Source organism: Homo sapiens, chromosome 4 (genome assembly GCF_000001405.40).
Source record: "Homo sapiens chromosome 4, GRCh38.p14 Primary Assembly".
Lineage (NCBI taxonomy): Eukaryota > Metazoa > Chordata > Mammalia > Primates > Hominidae > Homo > Homo sapiens.
Genome location: NC_000004.12, coordinates 14,609,940 through 14,634,941, shown reverse-complemented (window position 1 = coordinate 14,634,941; position 25,002 = coordinate 14,609,940). Strand labels below are relative to the sequence as shown.

Sequence of the window (25,002 nt, the reverse complement as noted above, 5' to 3'; positions counted from 1 at the left end):
GATTATATACTCTATGATTTCATTTATATGAAGTTCAAGAATGGCCAAAACTAATCTATAGTGATAGAAGTTGGAATAGTTGGGGTGGAATTGGGAGCTATTGACTGGGAAGGGGTGCAATGTAACTATTTTTACATGGGTGCATGGATATGTGAAAATAATCTGGCTTTGAGCTTTAGAGTATATTTATTATTATTATTATTATTATTATTATTATTATTATTATTATTTGAGATGGAGTCTCACTCTGTCACCCAGGCTGGAGTACAGTGGTGCAATCTCAGCTCACTGCAACTTCTGCCTCCTGGGTTCAAATGATTGTCCCACCTCAAGCCACCACGTAGCTGGGATTACAGGCATGCACCACCACACGCAGCTAATTTTTATATTTTTAGTAGAGATGGGGTTTCACCGTGTTGGCCAGGCTGGTCTCAAACTCCTGACCTCAAGTGATCCACCTACCTCAGCCTCCCAAAATGCTGGGATTACAAGCATGAGCCATAGCACCTGGCCTATAGTATATTAATTGTATCTATGTTTAAAAAATCTTTAAGAAGCAGTAGAACAGCAAAAAGCTCTACAAATAGGGAGGGGGATTAACATATCCAAACCTGGGCTATTAAAGTTACTGTAACTGAATATCAAATTTAACTTTGAGGTAGTAGCCAATGAAAAACTTCCAAATGATTTTCATTCCCTTTTTAAAAATAAAATAAAAATGGTCAGAAGATAAATATTTTAAAAGAGATTTTGTCTTTCTAAAATCCATTTATCATACAGCCTTTTAAATGAAAGACACTGACCAATATAATGGGAAAAACTTCTGATAATAATTCAGCAGAAATATTGAGATATCTTAATATGTTCTTTTTTTCTATTAAGCTTTTATAAAGCTCCCATTTATAAGGAAGAGCAATGACTTTTTTTTTTTTAACAGAAAAAGAAGCTATGAGATCCAGGAAGACAGTCAGTTACCTAACTCCCAAGAGACAGAGCTTAGACACACACACACACACACACACACACACACACACACACACACACACACACACGTCACCCAGGGATCTTGTTAAAATGCTGTCTCTGATTTAGCAGGTCAGGGTGCAGCTGAGATTCTGTGATTCTAGCAAATCCCCAGGGAGTTGCTTTTGCTGCCAGAACACACAGTTTGAGTAACAAGGGCTTACACCACTCAAGAAGTGTTTACCCATCCATGTTAGTCTGTTTTCTTGCTGCTGATAAAGACCTACTTGAGACTGGGCAGTTTACAAAAGAAAGAGGTTTAATGGACTCACAGTTCCACATAGCTGGGGAGGCCTCACAATCACGGTGGAAGGTGAAAGGCATGTCTCACATGGTGGCAGACAAGAGAAGAGAGCTTGTGCAGGGAAACTCCCCTTTAAAAAAACATTAGATCTCTTGATACTTATTCGCTATCATGAGAACAGCACAGGAAAGACATGCACTCAACAATTTCACTACCTCCCACCAGTTCCCTCCCGTGACAAGTGGAAATTGTGGGAGCTACAATTCAAGATGAGATTTGGGTGGGGACACATCCAAACCATATCACCATCGTTTGTGTTATAGTGTTGAAATTATTTGTTAAAAATCAGATTTCTGAGCTCCCTCTCCATAGGAGGAGGGTCCATGGATACTGCTGCCTTTTTAAAAAAATGAATATCTTTTTTCATACCAGTACCATGCTGTTTTGATTACCACGGCCCTGCAGTATAGTTTGAAATTGGGTGGCATGAGGCTTCCAGCTTTGTTCTGTTTACTTGAATTCCCTTGGTTATTTGGGATCTTTTTTGGTTCCATATGTATTTCAAAGTAGCTTTTTCTAGTTCTGTGACACATGTTGTTGGAAGTTTGATACAAATTGCATTGAATCTATAAATTGCTTTGGGCAGTATGGCCATTTTTAATGATATTTACTCTTCTTATTTATGAGCATGGCATGTTTTTCCATTTGTCTGTATCAACCGTGATTTCTTTGAGCAGTGTTTTGTAGTTCTCATTGTAGAGATCTTTTACCTCCCTAGTTGGCTGAATTCCTTATTTTATTATTTTTTGTGGCAATTGTGAATGGGATTGCCTTCCTGGTTTGGCATAAAATTCTGACATATACTAAAATTTTGGAGCTACTGACAGAGAAATTGGCTTATCACATGCCCCTTAAATTACAATCCTCCAGTAAGTATATTTTTTTGCAACCAATTTCATAAATCAGTAAAAAATGAAGGAAAAGGTAAAGAACATATTTTTAACCTTTCAGAGACATCACTCACTTATTGGATGTACAGTTTACTTTCGTTCATTCAATCCTCATAAATATCCTATGAGGTAGGAGTTATTGTCCATATTTTAGAATTAAAAATAATAGATAATCATCACTGAGCATTGAGTGTGTCCTAAATATTATGCTAAAGGCTTTTAAAGCACCATCTCAAAGAGCAGCCAAATGAAATAGGCACTAGTGTCATCTTCTCCACTTTACAGTTGACAAATTGGAGACAGGGAGATTACTTCAGAGCCTGTCTGACTTTCTAGTGCTCAAGCCTCACCATTGCCCACAGGGCCTCCCTGCACTGACTGACATTGCATAGGAAGCAGCAGGGCCAGCATCTAACTAAGATTGTTTAGATTTCATTTTTTTTTGTTTTAACTATAACAATTTGGCCAGTGGACACATTTTATTTTCCTTTCATTTCACTATTATTACTCCATCTTTCAATTATTTTGCTTTGAGGAGTACCAATGAGAAGACACAGGAACTCAGACTATAATTACTAACATCTGTATAGTATTTTACAGTTTACAGATTATGTACAAAATATTTGGGCTGATTTGATTCCCCAAACCACATGTATCCTTTAAGATCCAGGAAAACTGAGTTCCAGGAAAATGTAATTGATTTATCTGGGATTTAGACTCTAACCTTTTTATTCCATATCTGTGAGCTCCTACTAGACTAGTCTGTCAAGTGGGGTGGGGTGGGAGAAGAGCCAAAAAACAGTGTGGGAGAGAGAGGGAAAAGCCTTCACTTGGAGCCTAGAATGTGGTGTGCTAGTCCTGGCCCTGCCACCAGCTCCACACTACCTCAGGAGATTTGGTTTCCCTTTTTGGGCCATAAAATTTTAATATAAAATGAAGGTTTAGAGTAGACTAGCTATTTTTAAATAGCGTTAGTTCATTTTTATTAAAACCTTTTCTTTTAAAGAAGTCTCACAACAGACCATTAACTCATGAAGCAAATCTTACAGCAGGCACTTAACAATTAGATCACCAGCAACCTACCTTTTCCATTCTAGGGCAAGGTAAGAATTGTTTGTTTTTATCACTGAGTACTAGAACAGTGTCTGCCACATAGCAGGTACTCATTATATGCTTGTTGAATGAATAAGACTCTTTTATGGATTCTTTGGGGCACAGTAAAGAGACCATTGAATCAACAGGTCTGAAACTTCCCTGTGGTTCTAGGAGGCCACTTTTCTGGGAAACTAAAACCTCTCGTAAGAGTTCAGATCTAATACAGAGATTTTTCTGAATGTTCATTTACATACAAGGACCTCAGATGTTTCCAGACAAACTAATTTCCACAAGTACAGAATTCTGCATCACTATTTTTCACATCGTGTTATATAATAGGTTTAAGAATTGGATACTTTGGCTTGCATTCTTTTTCAAGAAAATACCAACTGTAGAGCAAAACAAAGCAGACAAAAACTGAATGTACTTAGTGTCTTCGTTTTTTCCCTTGTCGTGACTTCTGTGCACGCATCCTTCTCTTAACTCTTCTGAAAGGTTTCTGGATTATCATGGAACTAGTCTTCTTCTTTTGTTGGGGGAGGTATGTTGTCTACAGATCTGAGCATACCACAGCCAAGACTTTATTTCTTTTGTTTTTGGATTAAAAGAAAAAACATTTTAGCATGAAATCTTTTTAAAATGCCAGAAAGTGGAAAAAATAGTACAACAAACCTTTATATATTCACTATATTTTACAGTTGCCAAGACTTTGTCATATTTACGTTATACCCATTTTTCTTTTCTTTTTGCTGTCTGATGAATTTCAAAGCAATTCAGACATCATGTCATTTCACCCCTACTTCAGCATACTACAAACGTTTACTTTTATTTGGGCCAACAAAAATTTATTTTAAACTTTGGGTAGGAGAGTAAACATAGCTCACTTTCAATTATCTTTTTAAGTGACCTCAGTTATTTAATCAATACATTGATAACTGTGATTGCTCACATTTACCTAAAGCTTTATATTTATATGTGCACATGTGTGTGTACAGTGATATGCAAATGACACTATCCTTATGCTCTTCTTTAATCCCTGTACCTACTTCCTAAGACAGGGACTACTTCTGTCTCTATTTTACCTATGAGAGAACTGAGGCTAGGAAATGAAGGATGTTGACTTGACCCCAGAGCCTTTGCTGTGCACAGCCTGCCATATTGCCGCTTGGAAATTTGTCTCCACTTAGGACACACAGCTTTCTTTTTTTCTGCTGTAGAATTGCAGAATGTGCTATAAGGACCTTAGAAATTACCTGAGGCAACAATGCCCATCAGTAGCTCACCATTAGAATTACCCCATTCCCAGGTACTTTTGTAGATCGATTAAACTAGGATTGCTGGAAGAAGGCCCCTGTTCTAGAATTTGTAGTAGCTCCCTAGCTAATAGCCAGGGCTGAGGACCATTAATCTACTCTAAGGCAAACTCCTAAATATTAAAACTAGATTAAGGCCTATTGAAATAAAAGGACGTATTCAATATCTCTTAGTTCACTCCTGGAAGATATAGGCCTAGAGTCCAGGCATAAGGAATTGAGACATTCTCCTTTGGGTTCTTCTTTTTACTACATGGAAAGGAGGCACGGAGAATATTTCTTAGGTCATTTTTGATAACACATCCTTTTATCTATTTTCAGAGGCTTAACTGTTCAGTCTACTATGACTCCTAAATCCTTGCTGGCCAAGCTGTTGACTTTGTTCTCATGCAGCCAAATCCTGGCCCCCTGTGCTGATATTTGTGATATTTTGGCAACTTCATTGTGCTTTAGAATTTTGTCATATAGTACTTGAACACATGGAATTAACATTTTTTATTAGCAATAGAGTGTGTGGGAATCTTTGATTTAGTTCATGAATCTATGTGTTAAGAGGACCATGTTTGAGATAGAGTTCATCTAGAACAATGTCTTTCAAATTGCTGGTTGTTGTACATTAGCAGATTCTGAAATAAATGTGTGAGTCATGACCAGAATCTAAAAAAGAAAAATAGAAAATAAAATGAGAGTCCATTGGACAGAATAAATGATGTGTGTGTGTGTGTGTGTGTGTGTGTGTGTTTGTGTGTAGATGGTTAGTATGTATACAGTTGACTCTTGCTGTGCAGGTCTGTTTAGATGTGGATTGTTTTCAAAAAATATATTGAAAGAACTTTTGAGACTTGCTACAATTTGGAAAACTAGCAGATGAACTGAGTATCCTAGAAATACCAAAAAAGTAAAAAAAAGTATATGACAAATTCATAAAATAGTAGATACTATTCTAAAATAGTAGATCTAAAATAGTAGCTACTAGTAGAGAGTAGTAGATAGTAGATCTAGAATAGTAGATACTAGTCTATTTTATCATTTGCCACCTTAAATATACATAAATCTATTATGGTGCCCCTCACAGTTGAGACAAATGTAAACAAATGCAAAGATGCAATATTAAATTATAACTGCATACAATTAACTGTAATAATACTGTACCACTGTAATAATTTTGTAGTCACCTTCTGTTGCCATTCTGGTGAGCTCAAGTTTTGGGAATATACATTTAAAATGCCGAGTGATGCTAATCATCTCTACATGAGCAGTTCATGTCTCCAGTAAATTTTGTATCACAGTGAAAAGTAATTTCTTATAGCTCTTATGTGTTTTTCATTGTGTTTAGTGCAATACCAAGTGACATGGGACTTATACAAAGGCAGCACCACTAGTCATGCTGGAAGTTTCCCCAAGAAGCAGGGAAAATTCATGACGTGATATATAAGAAAAAGTTGAATTGCTTGATATGGACCATTGATTGAGGTCTGCAGCTGCAGTTGCTGCCATCTTAGACCGACTGTTCATCTTGTAAACTTACAGAATCAATAAATACGGTACAGTACTCGAAACATATTTTTCTTCCGTATGATTTTTAATAATATTTTCTTTTCTCTACCATCCTTTATTGTAAGAATATTGTATATAATACATATAACATACAAAACATGTGTTAATCAACTATATGTTATTGGTAAGGTTTTGGTCAAGAGCAGGCCATTAGTAGTTAAGTTATTGGGAACTCAAAAGTTGTGACTACATGGAGGTTAGTGCCCCTAAACCATGAGTTGCTCAAGGGTCAAATGTCTATGATACATAGTCATGCATCACTTAACAATGGGGATATATTCTGATGTTGTCAGGTGATTTTGTCAGTGTATGAACATCATAGAGCTTCTTAGACGAATCTCACTGGTATAGTCTGCTACACACCCAGGCTATATGGTACAGCCTGTTGCTCCTAGGCTACAACATCATCATAAGTGCAGTCCATGGTTGGCTGAAACGTCTTTATATGGCACATGACTAAATGCGTGTGGGTGTGTGCATGCGTATAGTGGACCATAATGTGAAATGCACTTTTTTGATGGGGTAACAATACAAGAAGCTTGGGAACTATTGTTTTAGAAGATATATCTAAGGAGTATAGGATTGACGACTTATTCTCACCTTTGTCTCCCTTGTGTTTTATGCACTCTCTTGTCGTCTTATGAAGTCAGCATACACAGCTGGGCATGGTGGCTCACACTTGCAACCTCAGCACTTTGGGAAGCCAAGGCAGGCAGATCACTTGAAGCCAGGAGTTCAAGACCAGCCTGGCCAACAAGGCAAAACCCCATCTCTACTAAAAATACAAAAATTAGCTGGGCATGGTGGTGCATGCCTGTAATCCCAGCTACTCAGGAGGCTAAGGCACAAGAATATCTTGAACCCAGGAGGTGGACATTACAGTGAGTTAGGATCATGCCACTGCACTCCAGCCTGGGATACAGAGCAAGACTCTGTCTCAAAAGAAAAGGAAAGAAAATAAACGAAAAGAAAATAGCATATACACGCATACACAAAATTATGTCTAAGTATAAACATTAGAATAAAAATACATGAGAATTGACTTTAATATTTGGCAATATAACATTGTGTACAAAAGAATTAGATTGCTCTTAAGTAACTCCAGAGGGCAGAACTTAGAGGGCAATGGATGGGAATCATGAGACACAAGATGCTGGTACCTGTAGCTATATATATAACTAACTTTTGCAAAGAACCGGTCTGCTTTACAAAAGAGTGGGCTCCCTGTCTTTTTCACATTATACAAATATATCTCAGGATGGTTATTTGCCAGTGTTGTTATGTTGGGTTGAAAAGCTGGGCTCCAGCTTGAGCTCAGGGCCTTTCAGTTCTCTGGGGTCCTTGAGAAAACATCATACGTAAGTGCCAGAGGTACGAAAGAGCGCTGCATATCTGTTAGATGATTAGATATAGGTAGTTTCTGTACTTAGAACATAGATTGTGAAGTAGGGGCTGTAGAATCACGTAGGGCTATGCTCACATCAAGTCTCCTAAGTCTAATATGGATTTCTAATTTCATTATTCTTGATTTTATCATGAGGGTAGTGGGATACTATTAAAGGGTTTAAAGCCTGGGCAATGGTCCAATCAGATTTGTATTTGAAAAGTCTGGTTTGGAGCCAGAGGGTTAGGTGGTGCTTGCCATGTCTTGGTACAAGCTGGATGGTAGGTCTGATGAAGGGGTGGGACAGGAGCAAATATTCGAGAACAATCCAGGAAAGACTCAGCAGTACCTGGGATTTGACTGGATACAGAGAGCAATGAAGAAGAAAATGTGTGTGGTGGCATGGTTAAAGCCCAGCCCCTGCAGTCAGACAGAAAAGGTGGCATCTACTTTTGAGTTTTGTGTATTTAGGCAAGTAAAGCTTCAGCTCCGTGGTCTGTGGAATGGAATGATAACAGCACTTTGTAAAGCTGATGAAAGAATTTAATAAAGTAGGCCGGGCATGGTGGCTCATGCCTGTACAAAGTGGCCCAGCACTTTGGGAGGCTGAAGCGGGCAGATTACCTGAGGTCAGGAGTTCGAGACCAGCCTGGCCAACATGGTGAAACCCCGTCTCTACTAAAAATACAAAAATTAGCCAGGCATGGTGGCACACACCTGTAATCCTAGCTACTCGGGAGGCGAGGCAGGAGAATTGCTTGAGCTGGGGAGACGGAGGTTGCAGTGAGCTGAGATCGTGCCACTGTACTCCAGCCACCAGCCTGGCCGACAGAGCAAGACTGTCTAAAAAAAAAAAAAAAGAATTTAATAAAGTAATGTATGTAAGCACTTAAGAGCTATGTATTTTTTTTGTCTGTGTGGGCCCAATCATTCTCAGAGAAACCTCCCACCATTTTCATAATGCTCTACATTAAATATATGGGCATAAAAAGAGAAGTATGCCACAGTGCCTGGTGAGGACAAAATTATGTAAGCGAGTCTCTTTAATAATTCTGTCTAACCAGGGCTTGACTTTTCCTAGGTGTGCTAAACATTATGCAAAAATCAAACACCGAAATCAATTAGGATCTCAACAATCTGAATTTACTCTACTCTTTTGACTTTATTTCTAGCTGTCAAGATTTAAATCCGAACTATTAAGAAAACCAATTCTAAACTTCTAGAAATGAGAAAACCTTGTTCACCTTGAGGGTATGACAAAATCTATCTGTTTTAAATCCGTCATTTACACACAGGATTTTCTCCCTTGTAGTTCTCTAAACCAAAGACATTACATTGAAGCTCTCTGGCATAAATAAGTGAAACAATGTATAGGTTCCTCCAAAGACTATTTGGTAAAAATTGTAAATAGAATCTTAATTATAATGTGTGCTTATAAACATTGATTTATTATTTAATTAACCAATTTTTGTTGGTAGAAAATTAGTATATCTGTTTGACGTTCATCATCTTTGTGTCATCAGTAGTCTGATGAGAAAAGATAGAGTCCACATGTGTGTGGAGGAAAAGTATGGTAAGAACTGCATCAGTGCCATCCTGTGTTTTGAACCTCCTCTGACACAGCCCTCTTCATGTTTCAGAACTACTGCCACAGCCTTGTATCTGATCTTCATGCTCCCAGATCCTGGCTTCTGCAATCCATCTTCCATATTAACAAAAGATTCCTCTGCAACGCAGGTCTTCTCAAATTGTATTCCGCATTAAAGCTCTTTGTGAAAAGCCCAGTATAACCAGGGGGATGCCCACACTACCTAGCAAAGTAAAATAACCCTCCACATCTGCTCCTAGTCTTTTACTGTCACCTCAGTGTCTTCTCCAATAATATTGTGCTCTACCTACCCACACCATGGACCATTCTGAGTCTGCTCCAGATAGAACCTACCTCTGGCATGTCTTCTGTCCTTTACAACTGGGTAAACCCTTAATTATTTTTAACATCCAGCTTCAGTAACTCATTTTCCAGATTTAAATCAGTCGTGTTTTCTTACTGATAAAATACTATATGAAAAAAAGCTACAAGGAACTTACCAATATCTTTAGTGCATTATTATTTTATTTATCATAAGAATATGTAATTGCTACTGGGCACGGTGGCTCACGCCTGTAATCCCAGCACTTTGGGAGGCTGAGGTGGGTGGATCACGAGGTCAGGAGATCGAGACCATCCTGGCCAACACGGTGAAACCCCATCTCTACTAAAAATACAAAAAATTTAGCCGGGCGTGGTGACGAGCATCTGTAGTCCCAGCTACTCGAGAGGCTGAGGCAGGAGAATGGCTTGAACCTGGGAGGCGGAGCTTGCAGTGACCCGACATGGCGCCACTGCACTCCAGCCTGGGAGACAGAGCGAGACTCCCTCTCAATTTAAAAAAAAAAAAAAAAGAATATGTAATTGCTTATGAGAATTTCAGTTTATTTATATAGGTAAGATATCTACTCATTCTACAGGCAGATTCTGGGTATGCATTTATGCCTGCCTAAATCCCTTATCATGGCTCTAAGGACACCGTATTCCTACCTGTAGCTTGCAGTTTGGAAACCCCAGAGTCAGAGAAATGACATATGCATTCACTGTGCAAACGGAGAGGGTAGGAACTGTTATAGACTGAATTATGAACCCACAAAATGTAAATGTTGAAGCCCTAACCCTCTGTATTAATCCATTTTCATACCACTGTAAATAATCACCTGAGACTTGGTCATTTATAAAGGAAAGAGGTTTAATTGACTCACAGTTCAGCATGGCTGGGGAAGCCTCAGGAAACTTACAATCATGGTGGAAGGTGAAGGGGAAGCAAGAAATCTTCTTCACAAGGCAGTGGGAAGGAGAAGTGCTGAGCAAAGGGGAAGAGCCCCTTAAAAAACCATCAGATCTCAGGAGAACTCACTCACTATCACGAAACTACCATGGGGGAAACCGCCTCCATGATCCAATCACCTCCACCTGTTCTCTCCCTTGACCAAACATGGGAGTTAAGGGGATTAAAATTCAAGATGAGATTTGGGTAGGGACACAAAGCCTATAGTTAATATCACCCCCAATGTGATGGTTTTTGGAGACAGGGCTGTTAGGGATGTTAATAAGGTTAAATGAGGTCATAAAGATGGGGCCATAAACAACCTAAGGATTGGTGTCTTTATAAGAAAAGGAAGAGATACCATATATCTTTTCCTCCCTGCAAACATAGAGGTAATGTCATGAGAGGACACAGTGAAAATGTGGTTGTCTACACACCAGGAAAAGTGCCCTCAGGCAAAACCAACCTTGCTGGCATCTTGATCTTAGATGCCAAGCCTCCAAAACTGAGAAAATGTTCCCTGCCCTGTGTCCAAGTGTTCTCATTGTTCAATTCCCACCTATGAGTGAGAACATGCGGTGTCTGGTTTTCTGTCCTTGTGATAGTTTGCTGAGAATGATGGTTTCCAGCTTCATCCATGTCCCTGCAAAGGACATGAACTCATCCTTTTTTATGGCTGCATAGTATTCCATGGTATATATGTGACACATTTTCTTAATCCAGTCTATCATTGATGGACATTTTGGGGGTTGGGGGGCTGGGGGAGGGATAGCATTAGGAGAAATACCTAATGTAAATGACGAGTTAATGGATGCAACAAATCAACATGGCACATGTATACCTATGTAACAAACCTGCGCGTTGTGCACATGTACCCTAGAACTTAAAGTAAAATTTAAAAAAAAACTAGAAAATAAATTTCTGTTGTTTAATTCACCCAGGTTGTTTCATTTTGTTATGGCAGTCCTAGCAGATGAATTCAAGACCCACTCAACTTGCTGCCTATCTTTTCTTCTCCAGACAATAGCTTATTGTCCTAATATCTAGTTGGAGCAAGACTACCTCTGCTCATGAAAAGATCTGATCGTGCACATCTTTTTCCTATTCCACCTTCAGTGACATCACAGTAGTAGCATAAAATCAGACATTGCAGAACTATTTACACTCTGGAAATCAGCAAACACTACACATCACACTTTTACTCTGGAGAACTTGTTGTTAACCATTTACCAACATACTCTTGCTCATTTGTCATTTCCTAGTCTCTCAGATTGGGTCAAGCCTCCTATTTTGTGATACCATAACCCCATGCTCCCCTTCTTTGTAGCATATACTTTACTTGTAGCTTGATGTTCATTTGCAGTACGATGATTCCTAGAAATAATATATATTTAATATTGATTACAGGTCCTGGTACAAAATGTTCAATCAATTTAAATTATTAAGTGTCTACATAATTTGTTAATTAATGTTTTTCTTCCCCTCCACGAGACTGTGGGTTCCATCAAGGCAGAACTACATTTCTTGTCTATCCTCAGGACCTAGCACGGTACCTGCCCATGGTAGATGAACGACGACAGAGTGAAAAAGGAATAAGTGTGATCACCATATTCTGCTGCTGCAGACAGCTCTCTGATCCACTCCCTAAACATTTGCCACTCAGAGTGAGGAAGCTTGATTTTTCCATATTACCTGTAAAGGGGGTGTAGTTGAGGTTCCTCCTTTGGCTGTGTGTGATTCTTTCACACTTGTGGTCATAAGCATTTTAATCTGTCCCTCGGGGTTTAAAAAAGTATTAATATAAGGACAAGTTTCCTAAGAGACTAGGTAACCTTTACAAAATGTTTAGTGACTAGGAACAACAAATGGATCCTGAGGATACATTTCTAGAAAAGGGACTTAATTTGGTACTTACCCATTCACAGTTGGCTTCTCTCCTCTGTGTAATACTCTGGCTTTGATTTGGTTGCTATGGTTGTCCCCAAGAGCTGCTGTCTTAAGAAAATGCATTTTCTTTCATTGTCAGTTCTGAGGATGTTGCAAAAAGATAGTTATGAAGCATTTTTAACTTTCATTTTCTTAGTTGATTCATTAGTAAGAATGTAGTTCAAGTGTGGCCTCAGTAAGTTTTTTCACTGATGAGAATATATTCACATAAAAACACAGCCTCCCAACACTGACTTTCAACCATGACAGGCCTCTGGTGCTTCCTGCTAGCAAGCTGGATCTTGCATCTTTAATAAGAACATCAGGGTGCTTAGCAGCCAGGGCTGCATGGCAGAGGCAGTATGTGTGGATTTAAAGGTCAGTTCAGGAAAATGAGAAGATTTGTTTTTCAGTACTTTGTTTTGCAAGCAGTTCATTTGAAGTATCTCAGATCTTACAGCACCAGGAATCCAGTGTACAAGTTTTAATAACGTTGATGGCCAATCATGACTTTGTCTTCTTAGCACAAATGTATTGCCAACATGAGAGGCCCCTGAGATTCTGGAAAGGGCGTTTGGTTAGAAGTCAGGAGACCTGGTCATTCGTTCTGTCCCTGCTATTAATAATGCCGCTAATAAAAACAGTTCACACTCCTGTACTCTTGCATTGTGTCAGACACTACGTTAAGTGATTTATAAATGCTGAAAGGTTGAAGAGGTTGAAATCCTAACTCACAAGGAAACTCAGCTAGGCAGTCAGAATGTAGTTTATTTTTTCCGTGTTTGTTCTAGCTTTCCTGTTAAGCTTCATGCACTGGTTCCTAGAAAATAAAATATTATTTAGCGCAGTCTAAATTTAGCCAACTCAGTACTTTTAATCTGAGCTGTCCAATAATATAGCCACTAGACACATACTCCTCTTTAAGGACTTTTAAAATTTGGCTAATCAAAATTGACATAGGCTGTAAATACAAAATACACATCAGATTTCAATGACTGTGTATGAAAAAAGAACATAAATGTAGTAATTGTTATATTCATTGCATGTTGAAATAGTATTTTGACAATATAGGTTAAAACATATTGTTTAAATTAACTTCATTGTTTCTTTTTACTTTTATTTAATGTGGCTATGAGAAAATGTAAAACTATGTATCTATTCATCTGATGTTTCTGTCCCACTCCTGAGGTGTTCTCAGTGTTTCTCTTCTCAATTTCAACTCTTCACTCTGCAGGAGAGAATTGCCAGGTTGGGAAATGACTACCTTTTTCTTCACATTTCTTCATTGGATAAATCAGTGAGAGTCAGTGACTTAAATATCCATCAAGGAAGATTTTTAGCAGGCTCATTTTGATTTCTCACACTGATCCGTGCCTGCAATCTAGTGCTAGTTGTAGAACAATAGAAGCTAAAGTATGTTTTTTTTTTTAATCACTGATTCTTTTGTGTTATTTATAATTTGGTTTAGTATTCAAAAAAGAAAAGAAAAGAAAGAAAGAAAACAGATGCAATTTAATGAGCCATACAAGATCCCTGTAGTGGCTGAAGCTTGTGACTCTTACAGATGCTAATCTCGACTTTGTCTCTGGCTGGAAGTCTGAGGGGGTTTCTGGCTTATTTGGCCTCACTTTGGTACCCACTGGCTGCAAATCCTGACTCTTTGCACCATCCCCATGCAGCTCACTGGCCTGGGGGTCCTGTCCACCACTCTGTTGATGGATCTCTGTCACCTTTCCTGACAGGAACCTTGATAGCCACTGGATCTTCCCTTGGCATAGGCCCCTTGAGGAATAAGGGAGGCTCAAGGAACTATACAGCTGATGTCCCTCTGTGTGACTACTCTGCCCTGTCTGATACCTGGAGGTGGCTGTGCCCAGAAGGCAGAGATACAGAGCAAGTCTTTCTGTGCTGCCCCTACCAGTGTAGCCAAATGGTGATGAAATTGGCAGTATTTGCAATGGTTAAGTACACAGCTTCAGAAACTAGATTGCTTGGATTGGTCCTGGCTGAGCCTCTGACCATGTGATATAGGGCATATTTATTACCATCTCTGCATCTACCTCTTCATCTGAAAATGTAGACAATAATATCCACTTCTGCTACAGGGTTATTGTGACAATTAACCCAATAGATGGAGTCAAAGCATGAGTGACACATTATAAGCACTAAGATAATGGTAGTGGTAATAATGACAATAATGATGCTAATCTTGGTTTTGTTTTCTATCATTAAGCAGTAAACCTCGTGGCCTCACTGTCTGCCTTGAGTAGAAAGATGATTTTCTCTACATTATGGGAGACCCCTTCTTTGATTAGAACATAGAGATAAAGGGATTTAGCAAATATCCTTTCTCCACAACACTTGGCTATAGCAAAACCCAATTTAAAGGGGCCAATGCAGGTGCTTGGGTGAAAACATCACCCACTTTTAACAAGCATTATCTAATTTAATTGTTACAGAATCTTATAAACTAAGCCATAAACATTTTTATTTGTATTCATATTTTACAGTTCAGAAAGTAGAAAGTTATTCATTCATTTATTCTTTAATTCACTCAACAATTCTGATTCAGGGCCACTGAGGAAATTAGCAAAAATCTCACGTTTTGTTCTATTGACCTAAACTTACTATACACCTTGAACAAACCTTTGTAATTCTGGTTGGCCAAACCTCAGACCAGAACTCACCCCATGGATTGGGGGTACTAGGTGGAGTTCGTTCCCCTCCAAAACAAATGAACAAAGCAGTTGGGGCAAATTCCAAAGAGAGAAACAGAATTAGGAAATGGATACTGAATACTGAGGAAATTAATGTCCTCAGTCCTTGATAGACAGGAACCAAAAAGAAATGACTCTAGTTCTCATACTTCACGGAACTATAGTCTAATAGAATAACAAACATTACAAATAATACTAATTAATGCATAATTAGAAATTATTAAATTACTTTGAAAGAAATACTCATGGTTTTACTAGAAAGTATAACAAAGGCTCCTGCTTTATGTGGAGTAGGGTTAGTCAGGAAAAGCCCTCCTAGGCAAAGCGAGGAACTGAGGCACATGCAGTATTAGTTGAAGGAATAAAATCAGAGAGATAATTCCAGGCAGAGGAACGTCATGTGTTAAGGCCCTAAGTCCTGAAAAGCTGGGTGCTTTTGAAGAAATGAAAGTCAAGACAATATCTTGGTGCACTGTAAACATGGCAGGGAATGTAATGGGATAAAACTAAAGAGAAAATGAGAGGCCAGACCGTGTAGGAAATTATAAGTTTGTGGTAAACAGTTTGAATTTATTCTAAGAACAATGAGAAAACACTGAAGGGTTTGATAGAATGCTTGTTTTATATCACCTCTCTAAATCCTAGTTTCACTATATGTAAAACAACATTTATTATTATAAAAATGTATAATATTAATGTCTTTGAAATATGGTCAAGTAAGATAATAGAAGAATAATCACTCTGAAAGCTGTAAAGTGCTATTCAGACATAAATTAATCTTATCACTATGGCTACTACTCAAAAACCTTCAGTGATTCTTTGACATCATTAGTATAAGAACTTCCATCAATGTGTTTAAAGTCTTGCATCCATTGTCCCCAACTGACCAGTAAAAGCATTTATGTCATGGTCTGCCCCAATATATTATCTCTAGTCTTCTTTCCATTTTATCACCTGTTCCTACATCTGACCTTTGTTCATGAGAGAATGGTTCATTGGAAACACTTTTATTGTTTTTCTCTACCCATCCTAATCCAAGTCATATCCATGCTTTTATTAGTTTGGATGCTCTTGGCTGCATGGGATATAAACACTTCAAACTGGCTTGATTCATAAAAAGGAATTTATGAATAGTGAAGGCAAAAAGTCTGTGGAGATGCCTAGTTCTTTCAGGCATGAATTCAAGACCTCATGAAACCACACCAGGAATTTGCGTCTTGGGTCTCCATCCCTAGGCTTCTCCCATGAATTGCCTAAATGATCATCACAGATCTAGACTTCATCCTACCAGCTTACCTCCTCCAATAGAAAGAGGATTTCTTTTCGCTAAATCATTTAGCAAAAGTCTCATATTTTCTTTTATTGACCTGAACTTATTATACACCTTGAACAAACCAATGTAATTCTGGTTGGCCAAACCTCAGACCAGAACTCACCCCATGGGTTGGGGTAGTAGGTGGGGGGTTAGTTTCCCTCCAAACCAAATGAACAAAGTGGGATTGGGGCAAGTTCCAAAAAGAAAAACAGAATTAGGAAACGGATACTGAGAAGGCAAAAGCAAAACAAAGCAAAATGAGAAAATCCACCCAGATATCCATCATAAAGATATAGCTCGTCTCCCTCATTCTCCAGTCTTCCATGAGGCCTGCCTCTAGGACTTCAGGCCATAATTATCTTTTGTCTTCCACTCTTCTTCATACTTGGTCTCTGAAGCATACATTTTTGGCTTTTGAATATTCCATTCTGCACTTTATTACAATAATAAAATGCTTATTACTTGATTAGACCTTGGTAGTAACCTAGTCCTAGGGATGTAAAAGCCCAGAAGGAAAAATGTGGGGTTATTTTGAAAATATATCTTAAGGACTTTTTGGTTATTCTAGGGGATAGGGGGAAGGGTACAAAAATTCTTTATTTAAAAAAATTATACTTTAAGTTCTGGAGTACATGTGCACAACGTGCAGGTTTGTTGAACAAACATTCTTTTAAAATAACTCAGCATTCCTAAATTCCAGAAATGTTCTATTATTTTTCTCATCCATAAAAATCTAAATATGTCAGTCGTGACAATTTTATCAGCAAACTAAGCAATGCATGATGTAATTTTAAATATTAAACCAATAATATGCCTTTTGATCTGGAAAGTATTAATGTATTTCTTCCCTCACCATATGTATGTATGTATGTATGTATGTACATATGTATGTGTATATATAATATATTTTTTGCCTTTAAACTTTTCCAACATTATGATTTTACAGATGGAAAAAGAACAATGAGATATACACACCCGAGTGTTAGTACCTGCTCTAGCACTAAATAATTCTGAGTTTCTTAACAACATTTTTACTCTCTGAGCCTTGGTGTTAAAATCTGGAAAGTGGAGCTAATAAGACTTATTATTCTATAGGTTGATTATAAAATTTAAGTGAAGTAGTGCATATAAAATACAAAATAAAATTTATAGCATATAGAAATTTATATATTATTGTATAAACTAAATGTTTCCCCAAGGTCTTACTGTGCAACTGGGTATTATTCCAAGCACTGTGAATGCAGAGGTGAATAGTATAAAAATTTCTGCCCTTATCACGCCCACTTCATCATGGGAAATTTACCAGCAAATGTTAATTTCCAGCTTCTAGCATACTTTTTCCAATATTGCATGGTTCTTTTCTAGCTCCTAGGACCAGAACCTAGCATTAGGACCTAGTTATACTGAATCTCAAGCAAGTAAAAATTTTCTTATTTTTTACTGACAATTAAAGTCAATATTGGTTTCACATGTATCCAAAATCAGTTGTTTGAATGGTATAATCATAATTTTGGGGGACTCAAAGCTATAGAAAAAAATTAGCTGAGTGGAGAGATCTTTACTAGAAGTTAGAGTACTACTCTCTAACTATTGTGTCTCCTCTACTCCCAGCTAACTATGGGAGTCCTCTTTCCTTTCCTTTCCTTTCCTTTCCTTTCCTTTCCTTTCCTTTCCTTTCCTTTCCTTTCCTTTCTTTTCTTTTTTTTATCAGATCCTGATATTCTGGGCCTCCATTTTTATCAACTTTAATTTAAAATTTAGTTTTTTTGTGTGATAGGATCTCGCTCTGTTAGCAAGGCTGAAGTGCAATGGTACAAATATGGGTCACTGCAGCCTGGACCTCCTGGGTTCAAGCAATACTCCTGCCTTAGCCTCCCAAGTAGTTGAGACCACAGGCAGTTTGACTAAACATATGCAGAGCTAACATGTGTGTTTCTAATTACAAAACTTCTCTTTCATTATTCATGAGTTTTATTTATGGGTTCCTTTACTTAATAGTTATCAAACTGCCTTTTCTATGCAGGGGAACTTGGTAGACATTTGGAATAACAGAGAGGATAAAAAGCATGACTTCAGCTTTCTTAGATTATGCATATTAATTAAGGATATGAACAGGTATGTAATAAATGATAGTATAACGTGAAAAATGCTATAGAATAGTTATCAAGAAAAAACTATTTTACTGAAATAGAAACTGGACTTAGTTCCATTTGGAAGGATGGTAGGAAAAGACTTGGCAGAGGAGATGACAGTAAATGTTAGACTTCAGTGGACATTGATGGATAAAATTTTGACAGATAAAGATTTGGGGAAAGAGAGTCTAGTAAAAGACACCAGTGAAAGTATATATCATCTTACAGGAATGGCTAGTATTTGGTTTCATCACATAATATTGTACTTTAAGATGAGTGGCCGACATCAAGTTATAAATGTAAGCTGGAATCTGTAGAGAAGTTAGAATATCAAACTTAGGAATTTGAAATTTATTCAGTAGGCAATGGTTAAGTGTTAAAATATTTTAGGTAGAGAAACATCATCGTTGATCTTCTAATATGAAGAAATAGAATCGTGATGGTGAAGTTGTGGGTGAATTAAAGGACAGTCAAGTGGAAGTTCAATGAGGAAGCAATAAATGTCTCAAGTAGAGCAGTGAGAATTGAAATGAGGAAGCGAATTAATATTACAATGAAGAAAAACTTGATAAGCCTTAGTAACCAACTGGGTATAAGGGCAAGGGATTTGGGGAAGCTACAGATAAATATGTTATTTCTGTCTTAAGCAACTACACATCATTAATTACACAGGGAGAGGGAAGCAAAAACTTTGCAAGAAAGATGAAGGATTCTGGTTTGGAACTGTTGAGTTGCCTCAGTGTGACATCCAGCTGGATGAATCTGATATATGTTTGGACAATAAGGGTTTAAAGCTAGGAAGGGGGCCTTTGATGTAGATATAGATTTGGAAATCACAAAAATATGAAAGAGAGTTGAAATCACAGATCATAGTGAGAGTTTAGCTTGATAAGCTGACAAGTTCCAGGATGGATCAATTGAAGAAAAAGTCCTGAATTTAAATTGTAAACTTTATGCCCACCATTGCTTCTAAATCACCTTTAGTACAGCTCTGAAGAGGAAAACAAGTGCAGCTTTTAATATCAATACATCCATCTATGAAGATAAACTATGATTATAGATAAGTAATTGCAATTTATTCTACATGGAGGTATTAAACAATAGTCTTGGACCTCCCCAAACATTGTATTTGGAAACCCCTCATACTAGATTCTGCCTTGTAAAGTTGTGAAATTGCAACCCTTTTAGCCTGGAATGCAATGAATTTTATTTATGTTGCTAGTGAAGCAAGTTGATGTCCTTCAGATACGGAATTGACTTATTGATTTACATTGAGAGTGACTAGCATAGTGTCCTACACATAGCAAATATTCAGTCAGGTTTTGGCACATGGATGGTTACTGTACTATGAATGACTTAGTATTTGCAATGCAGGAACACTGGGTGGAAACCAGGCTATTTTGGCTCCATCTGGCGCTAGGCTAAGTCTTAGCCTAATCTCAGGCAAGAGTAAGGAGGCTCCCGAGCCTCAGCTTTGTCATTTTCTAAGGTGGGAGTTGGAGTCTGCTTCTGAAGTTCCTCCACACTCTCCAAGGCAAGGGTTCTATGTCAGTTAATGGAATGAGCAGATGAGCGCTGCTCTCCTGTTTTCTAAGTGTCTTACTAAGTTTTGTCTATTTATTTGTTTTTTTCCCCAGAGAGTAGAGTAGGGAGAATTGAAGATTTTACCTCCCACCCCAAACAACTTAGAGTTTCACAAATTTTGAAGACATTAACTTTATGGTAGCCAAGATTTCTAAGCTAAAGACCTCTCTTTTTAGGGAAAGATGATGCAGTTGGGAAAAACCACCACAGAAACAACTCTGTTTTTTTTTTTTGTTTGTTTGTTTGTTTGTTTTTTGAGATGGAGTCTCGCTCTGTCGCCCAGGCTCTGGAGTGCAGTGGCTCAAACTTGGCTCACTGCAAGCTCCGCCTCCCGGGTTCACGCCATTCTCCGGCCTCAGCCTCCCGAGTAGCTGGGACTACAGGTGCCCGCCACCACGCCCGGCTAATTTTTTTGTTTTTTTAACAGAGACGGGGTTTCACTGTGTTCACCAGGATGGTCTCGATCTCCTGACCTTGTGATCCACCTGCCTCAGCCTCCCAAAGTGCTGGGATTACAGGCGTGAGCCACTGCGCCCAGCCTGCAACTCTGTTTTTTGCTTTCAGGTGAGTTCCACTTCCCACTTTGCTTATCACTTTCTTTTTATTGGAAAGAAATATGTTCTCTCCTTACCATGCTCTTTCCAGGACTGACCTTCAATCACAGCAACACATCCATCAGTGTGATCTAATTCTTCCTTCTTTAGGGAGGCTAGGAGCCAGAGGTATCCAATCTTCTCAGCTAGCTCTCATTGAGCATGAGAAGAAATTGTGAGTCCCCCTTCCATCCAGCCGTGTAGTGTGTTTACAAAGTCCCCATCCTGACACTGTGCCCAAGGGGAATTTGTTGGTGTGATCTTGGAGAGGCACACCCAAATGGATTGTCACAGCTTGGGGTCTCGGGGTAAGTAGTGAACTCTGTGGTCAGTAATCATGGTGGTTATTGAAGAGGGGATGTGTGTAGAGGAAGAAAAAAGAACAACAGTGTGGAAGGGCTGGGTAGGCAAAGTCTGGACAAATATCTCAAGATGGGGTCAAGTCCTGAGGCCAGGACATTCTGAATTATTACTGGGATAATATGGTGTGCAGGTTGGGTTTATGCAAAGTGTAATGGGATGGATAATTTAATGATCTTTATTTTTTATGCCATAAGGATAAGCACATAACTCAAATCAAATGGGGAATTTGGGGAATAAAGTAACAGACAAGGGCAAAGGCATGGCTTGATCTAGACGGCTCAGACTATGTTATTAGTGCTTATTTTATCATGTTTGCCTTCTGCCTCCTTTTATACTGGTTTCCTCAAAACTTGCCTCATCTAATGGTGGTGAGATGGCTCCAAGCCTTGTATCCTATTACCGCTAGGACTGGAAGAGAGAAGAACTGTTTTCTTGGAGTAGCCACAGCGTTTCAGAGTCTCTAACCTGGTCATAAATCCATGTCTGAATCAGACATGAGATAGGCTGATTGGTTCAGGCCAATAGGCATTGATTTCTTGAAATAAATTCAATCCACCTTAAATGCATTGGCTAAAATTGGATGAGGATGAATTCTCAAAAGTAAAAAAGTGGAAAGGACATAGGGAAGGTGACTAAGAAATACCCACTGTGATTTATCCATGAATCTAATTGATCTAATTCTTATTTTGCAAGAATGCTGATGATAGGCAGAAATTAGTTTTCTTTCTATTTCTCCTAGTTTAAGATGGAGGCAAACAGAGGTAGCTGCAGCAGTCAAGATAAAATGCATGGACAAACTCAAGTTTAACATACCAGGAAAACAATACACCAAATTACCTGAGTTTGCTGGCGATTTGAAATGCTAGAGACAGAGTTCACTGTGACTTTTTATTGAATAGTCAAAGCTCTATGAGCACTTCTAGTCCCTATCCAAGATTACATTCCATTGTTCCAGAATTATTTTTGCTTTTAGAAAAGAATATTTGGCCCAAATATTTTAATTTTCAACTAACCCCAATAACAATGATACTTGACATAGTTTTGCTTCTTGGCTTTGTTTCAAACCATCAACCTCCCATAAACACATTTTGTCTATGAAACAAAATCAGTTTTGCCCTCTGAATTTTTTTGAAAGTTGAAAGTTCACATCTCTGGGTATGTTATATTCAGTTTCCAGATATGCAACACTCACCACTGTAATAAAACATTTTTTAAAAGTTGCAACAAAATGGATGAAAAAGATTTATTATTCTTTATTTTAACTCAGTTGCCTAATTTCATTTAGGGACCTCTAATGGCATTTACTTAGACCTAACTAGCTAAATTATGTAGATGTTTAATTCCATTTCAGAAGATCTCAAGGTTTTTATTCTGCATCAGCACAGCTGAGGGGTAGCATGTACTAATCTTGTTTTACTCTGGAAGTTCATTTTTCAAGGCTAGCTTACTCTATAAGGATACATCAGAATCATAGGGAGTAGGAACTATGTTTCCTACTTCCCATAGGGAGTAGGATATTGAGCTGTGTACCCAGAACACATTGGCTGCCTAATTTATAGGGCTCAGTGCAAAATGAAAATACAGGAACTCTTATTTTAAAATTTAAATTTGAGGACAGCAGCAACAGCAGAGCATTGAACCAAACATGATCCCCTCTAAGCCCAGGACCATGTGTGATGACAGAGATCATGTGCCAGTGAAGCAGGTGCCATTCAGATTCCCCCTTCAATGGAAGAATTTGTTGCTTCAGCTTCAAGAAATGCTGTTAGGGATCAGCCTTCAGCTATCAGCCCATAAGGACTAGCTTCAGTAAAGCCAGCTTGCTCAAGGTCACCCAACTTTGGACAGGAACTTTAGGGAGGATCATATCCAGCTGATTGGCATGGAGAAAAAGGACTGCTCCTTTTAGCCCCATGTGCAACAGCTTGATGGGCCATTTCAACTCCAGACCTTCTTGTGGGTCCACTGAGGCTCTCGGGTCTGCGTCACAGTTTATGAGCTTACTTCACCCAGTTCTGCTTCACCACCTCCTCCATGGGTGTTGCTCCCAAGGGACCCCCTGCACACTAAACTCTGTCTCAGAGTCTATTTCTAGAGAGCCCAAGCTGGGACAGGACTCTTTGGGTATTTATTATTTTTGTTAATACTAAGAACCTTGAAAAAAATGCATTTTTTTAAATTAAAAACATTCATGCAACAAGAAGATGTAAAAAGAGAAAATAAGAGTACAATTATCCAAATGTTCACACCCAGTAAGGATCAGCATTTGTGTTAGCTAAACCTCATCTCAGGCTTCCCTCTGTGTTTGAGCCCAGATAGGGTGGTCTGATGGCTCCATATTGAGATAGATACAGAGATAAATAAATATAAAGTTAATGTGAGGACTAAATAATGATGCATATTGAATCTACACAAGAATTCAAAACAATGCAGGCGCATAAGTGATATGTTCCCAATATCCCTCCGTCTCCTCTTTTCCTATATCTGTCTCTCAATTTCAATTATAGTCTATCCTTTTCCCTCATTGCAGATATCACTGGCTGTTCACACATGAATGAGGCATATGAGAAAAGTTTACAAAAGCAGAAGACTCAGAGAGAGAGAGGAATAAAAGAGACTGAGTTTTCAGGTAGATGCTGCTTTAGTGATAGATCTTTTACTGTAAGACATAGTATCAATAGCCCACATGTGTTATTTGTAAGAAATATTGATATTTTAAGGCTCAAACTCACTATGGTCATTAGTGCCATTGGCAAACTAAGAAAAGCCAATCACCAGCAAAACCATAATAGAAACAAATATAATTCAGAATTCTCCTTTGCCTGGAAATTTCCTTCACTGAGCTGAACCATAAGAGCCTAAGAAAGGCCATATGAAATCAAATATTTTGTTCCAGGGATTGATGCTACCCCAATGTACCAAGTTTCTTTTAGAGCCTTAACACTACAAGATACATTAAAAATTTTAGTTCCTATAAAGTGAATCCTCCTCCAAAGTGTTGGGGATGGCTGAAATGAGCATTGTGGATGAAGATTCAGAGAGTTTTCAAGGTCCTTGTTGACAATTTGTGACCATCACAATAAGCCAGTAGATACCAAACAATTCCAAACATTTCGTCTGAATTAGAAAAATGATTAAACTCCTCAAAAAGAGTATGTGTTCATCTTGACTAAGGACATCACTTTTAAACAAGGCAAACAAATTTTTTTTTTTTGTCTTCCAGATGATGTCCTGGGAGGACACTCTTCCAGATTTGTGTAAATATGGGAGTCATGTTTCTTGAGCCCCAAACTAAAAATGTCTTCAGCAAAAAAAAAAAAAAAAAAAAAAAAAAAAAAAAGGTAGTATGGGAATCATCCATAAATGAACTTGACAGCTTCTGAGCAAACCCTTGGAAGGTCCAAGACCAGCAGAAATTCAAGTCATAGTAAATGTTAAGTGACCCGTCGAGGTTGTGCATTACAGAATTGCATGGAAATAGGGGTGAATACTGGTTCTGCCACAATCCATCTGCAAAAGAGTGGGCAAGTCACTATACTGTAGTATAGTTTGAAGTGGGATAGCATGGTACCTCCAGCTTTGCTCTTTTTGCTTAGCATTTCCTTGGCTATTCAGGCCCTTTTGTGAGTTCAGTATGAATTTCAGAATAGTTTTCTATAAATTAATTCTGTGAAGAATGTCATTGATAGTTTGATAGGAATATCATTGAATCTGTAAATTGCTTTTGGCAGTATGGGCATTTTAATAATTCTTCCTATCCATGAGCATAGAATGCTATTTCATTTGTTTGTGTCATCTGATTTATTTGAGCAGTGTTTTATAATTTTAATCGTAGAGATCTTTCACTTCCCTAGTTAGCTGTATTTCACTCTTTTTATGGCTATTGTGAATGGAATTGCATTCTTGATTTGGCCTTTAGCTTAAATGTTGTTGGTGTATAGGAATACT

At 38.1% G+C, this 25,002-nt stretch overlaps 1 long non-coding RNA gene across 1 annotated transcript in view; it reads left to right on the top strand.

Annotated features, from left to right (window-relative positions):
- LINC00504 (long intergenic non-protein coding RNA 504) overlaps positions 1-25,002 on the top strand; it is a 417,705-nt gene that overhangs the window by 253,228 nt on the left and 139,475 nt on the right. The window contains exon 4 of the long non-coding RNA NR_126435.1: positions 20,526-20,662. This is a non-coding gene — a long non-coding RNA (long intergenic non-protein coding RNA 504). The remainder of the gene's footprint in view (positions 1-20,525; positions 20,663-25,002) is intronic.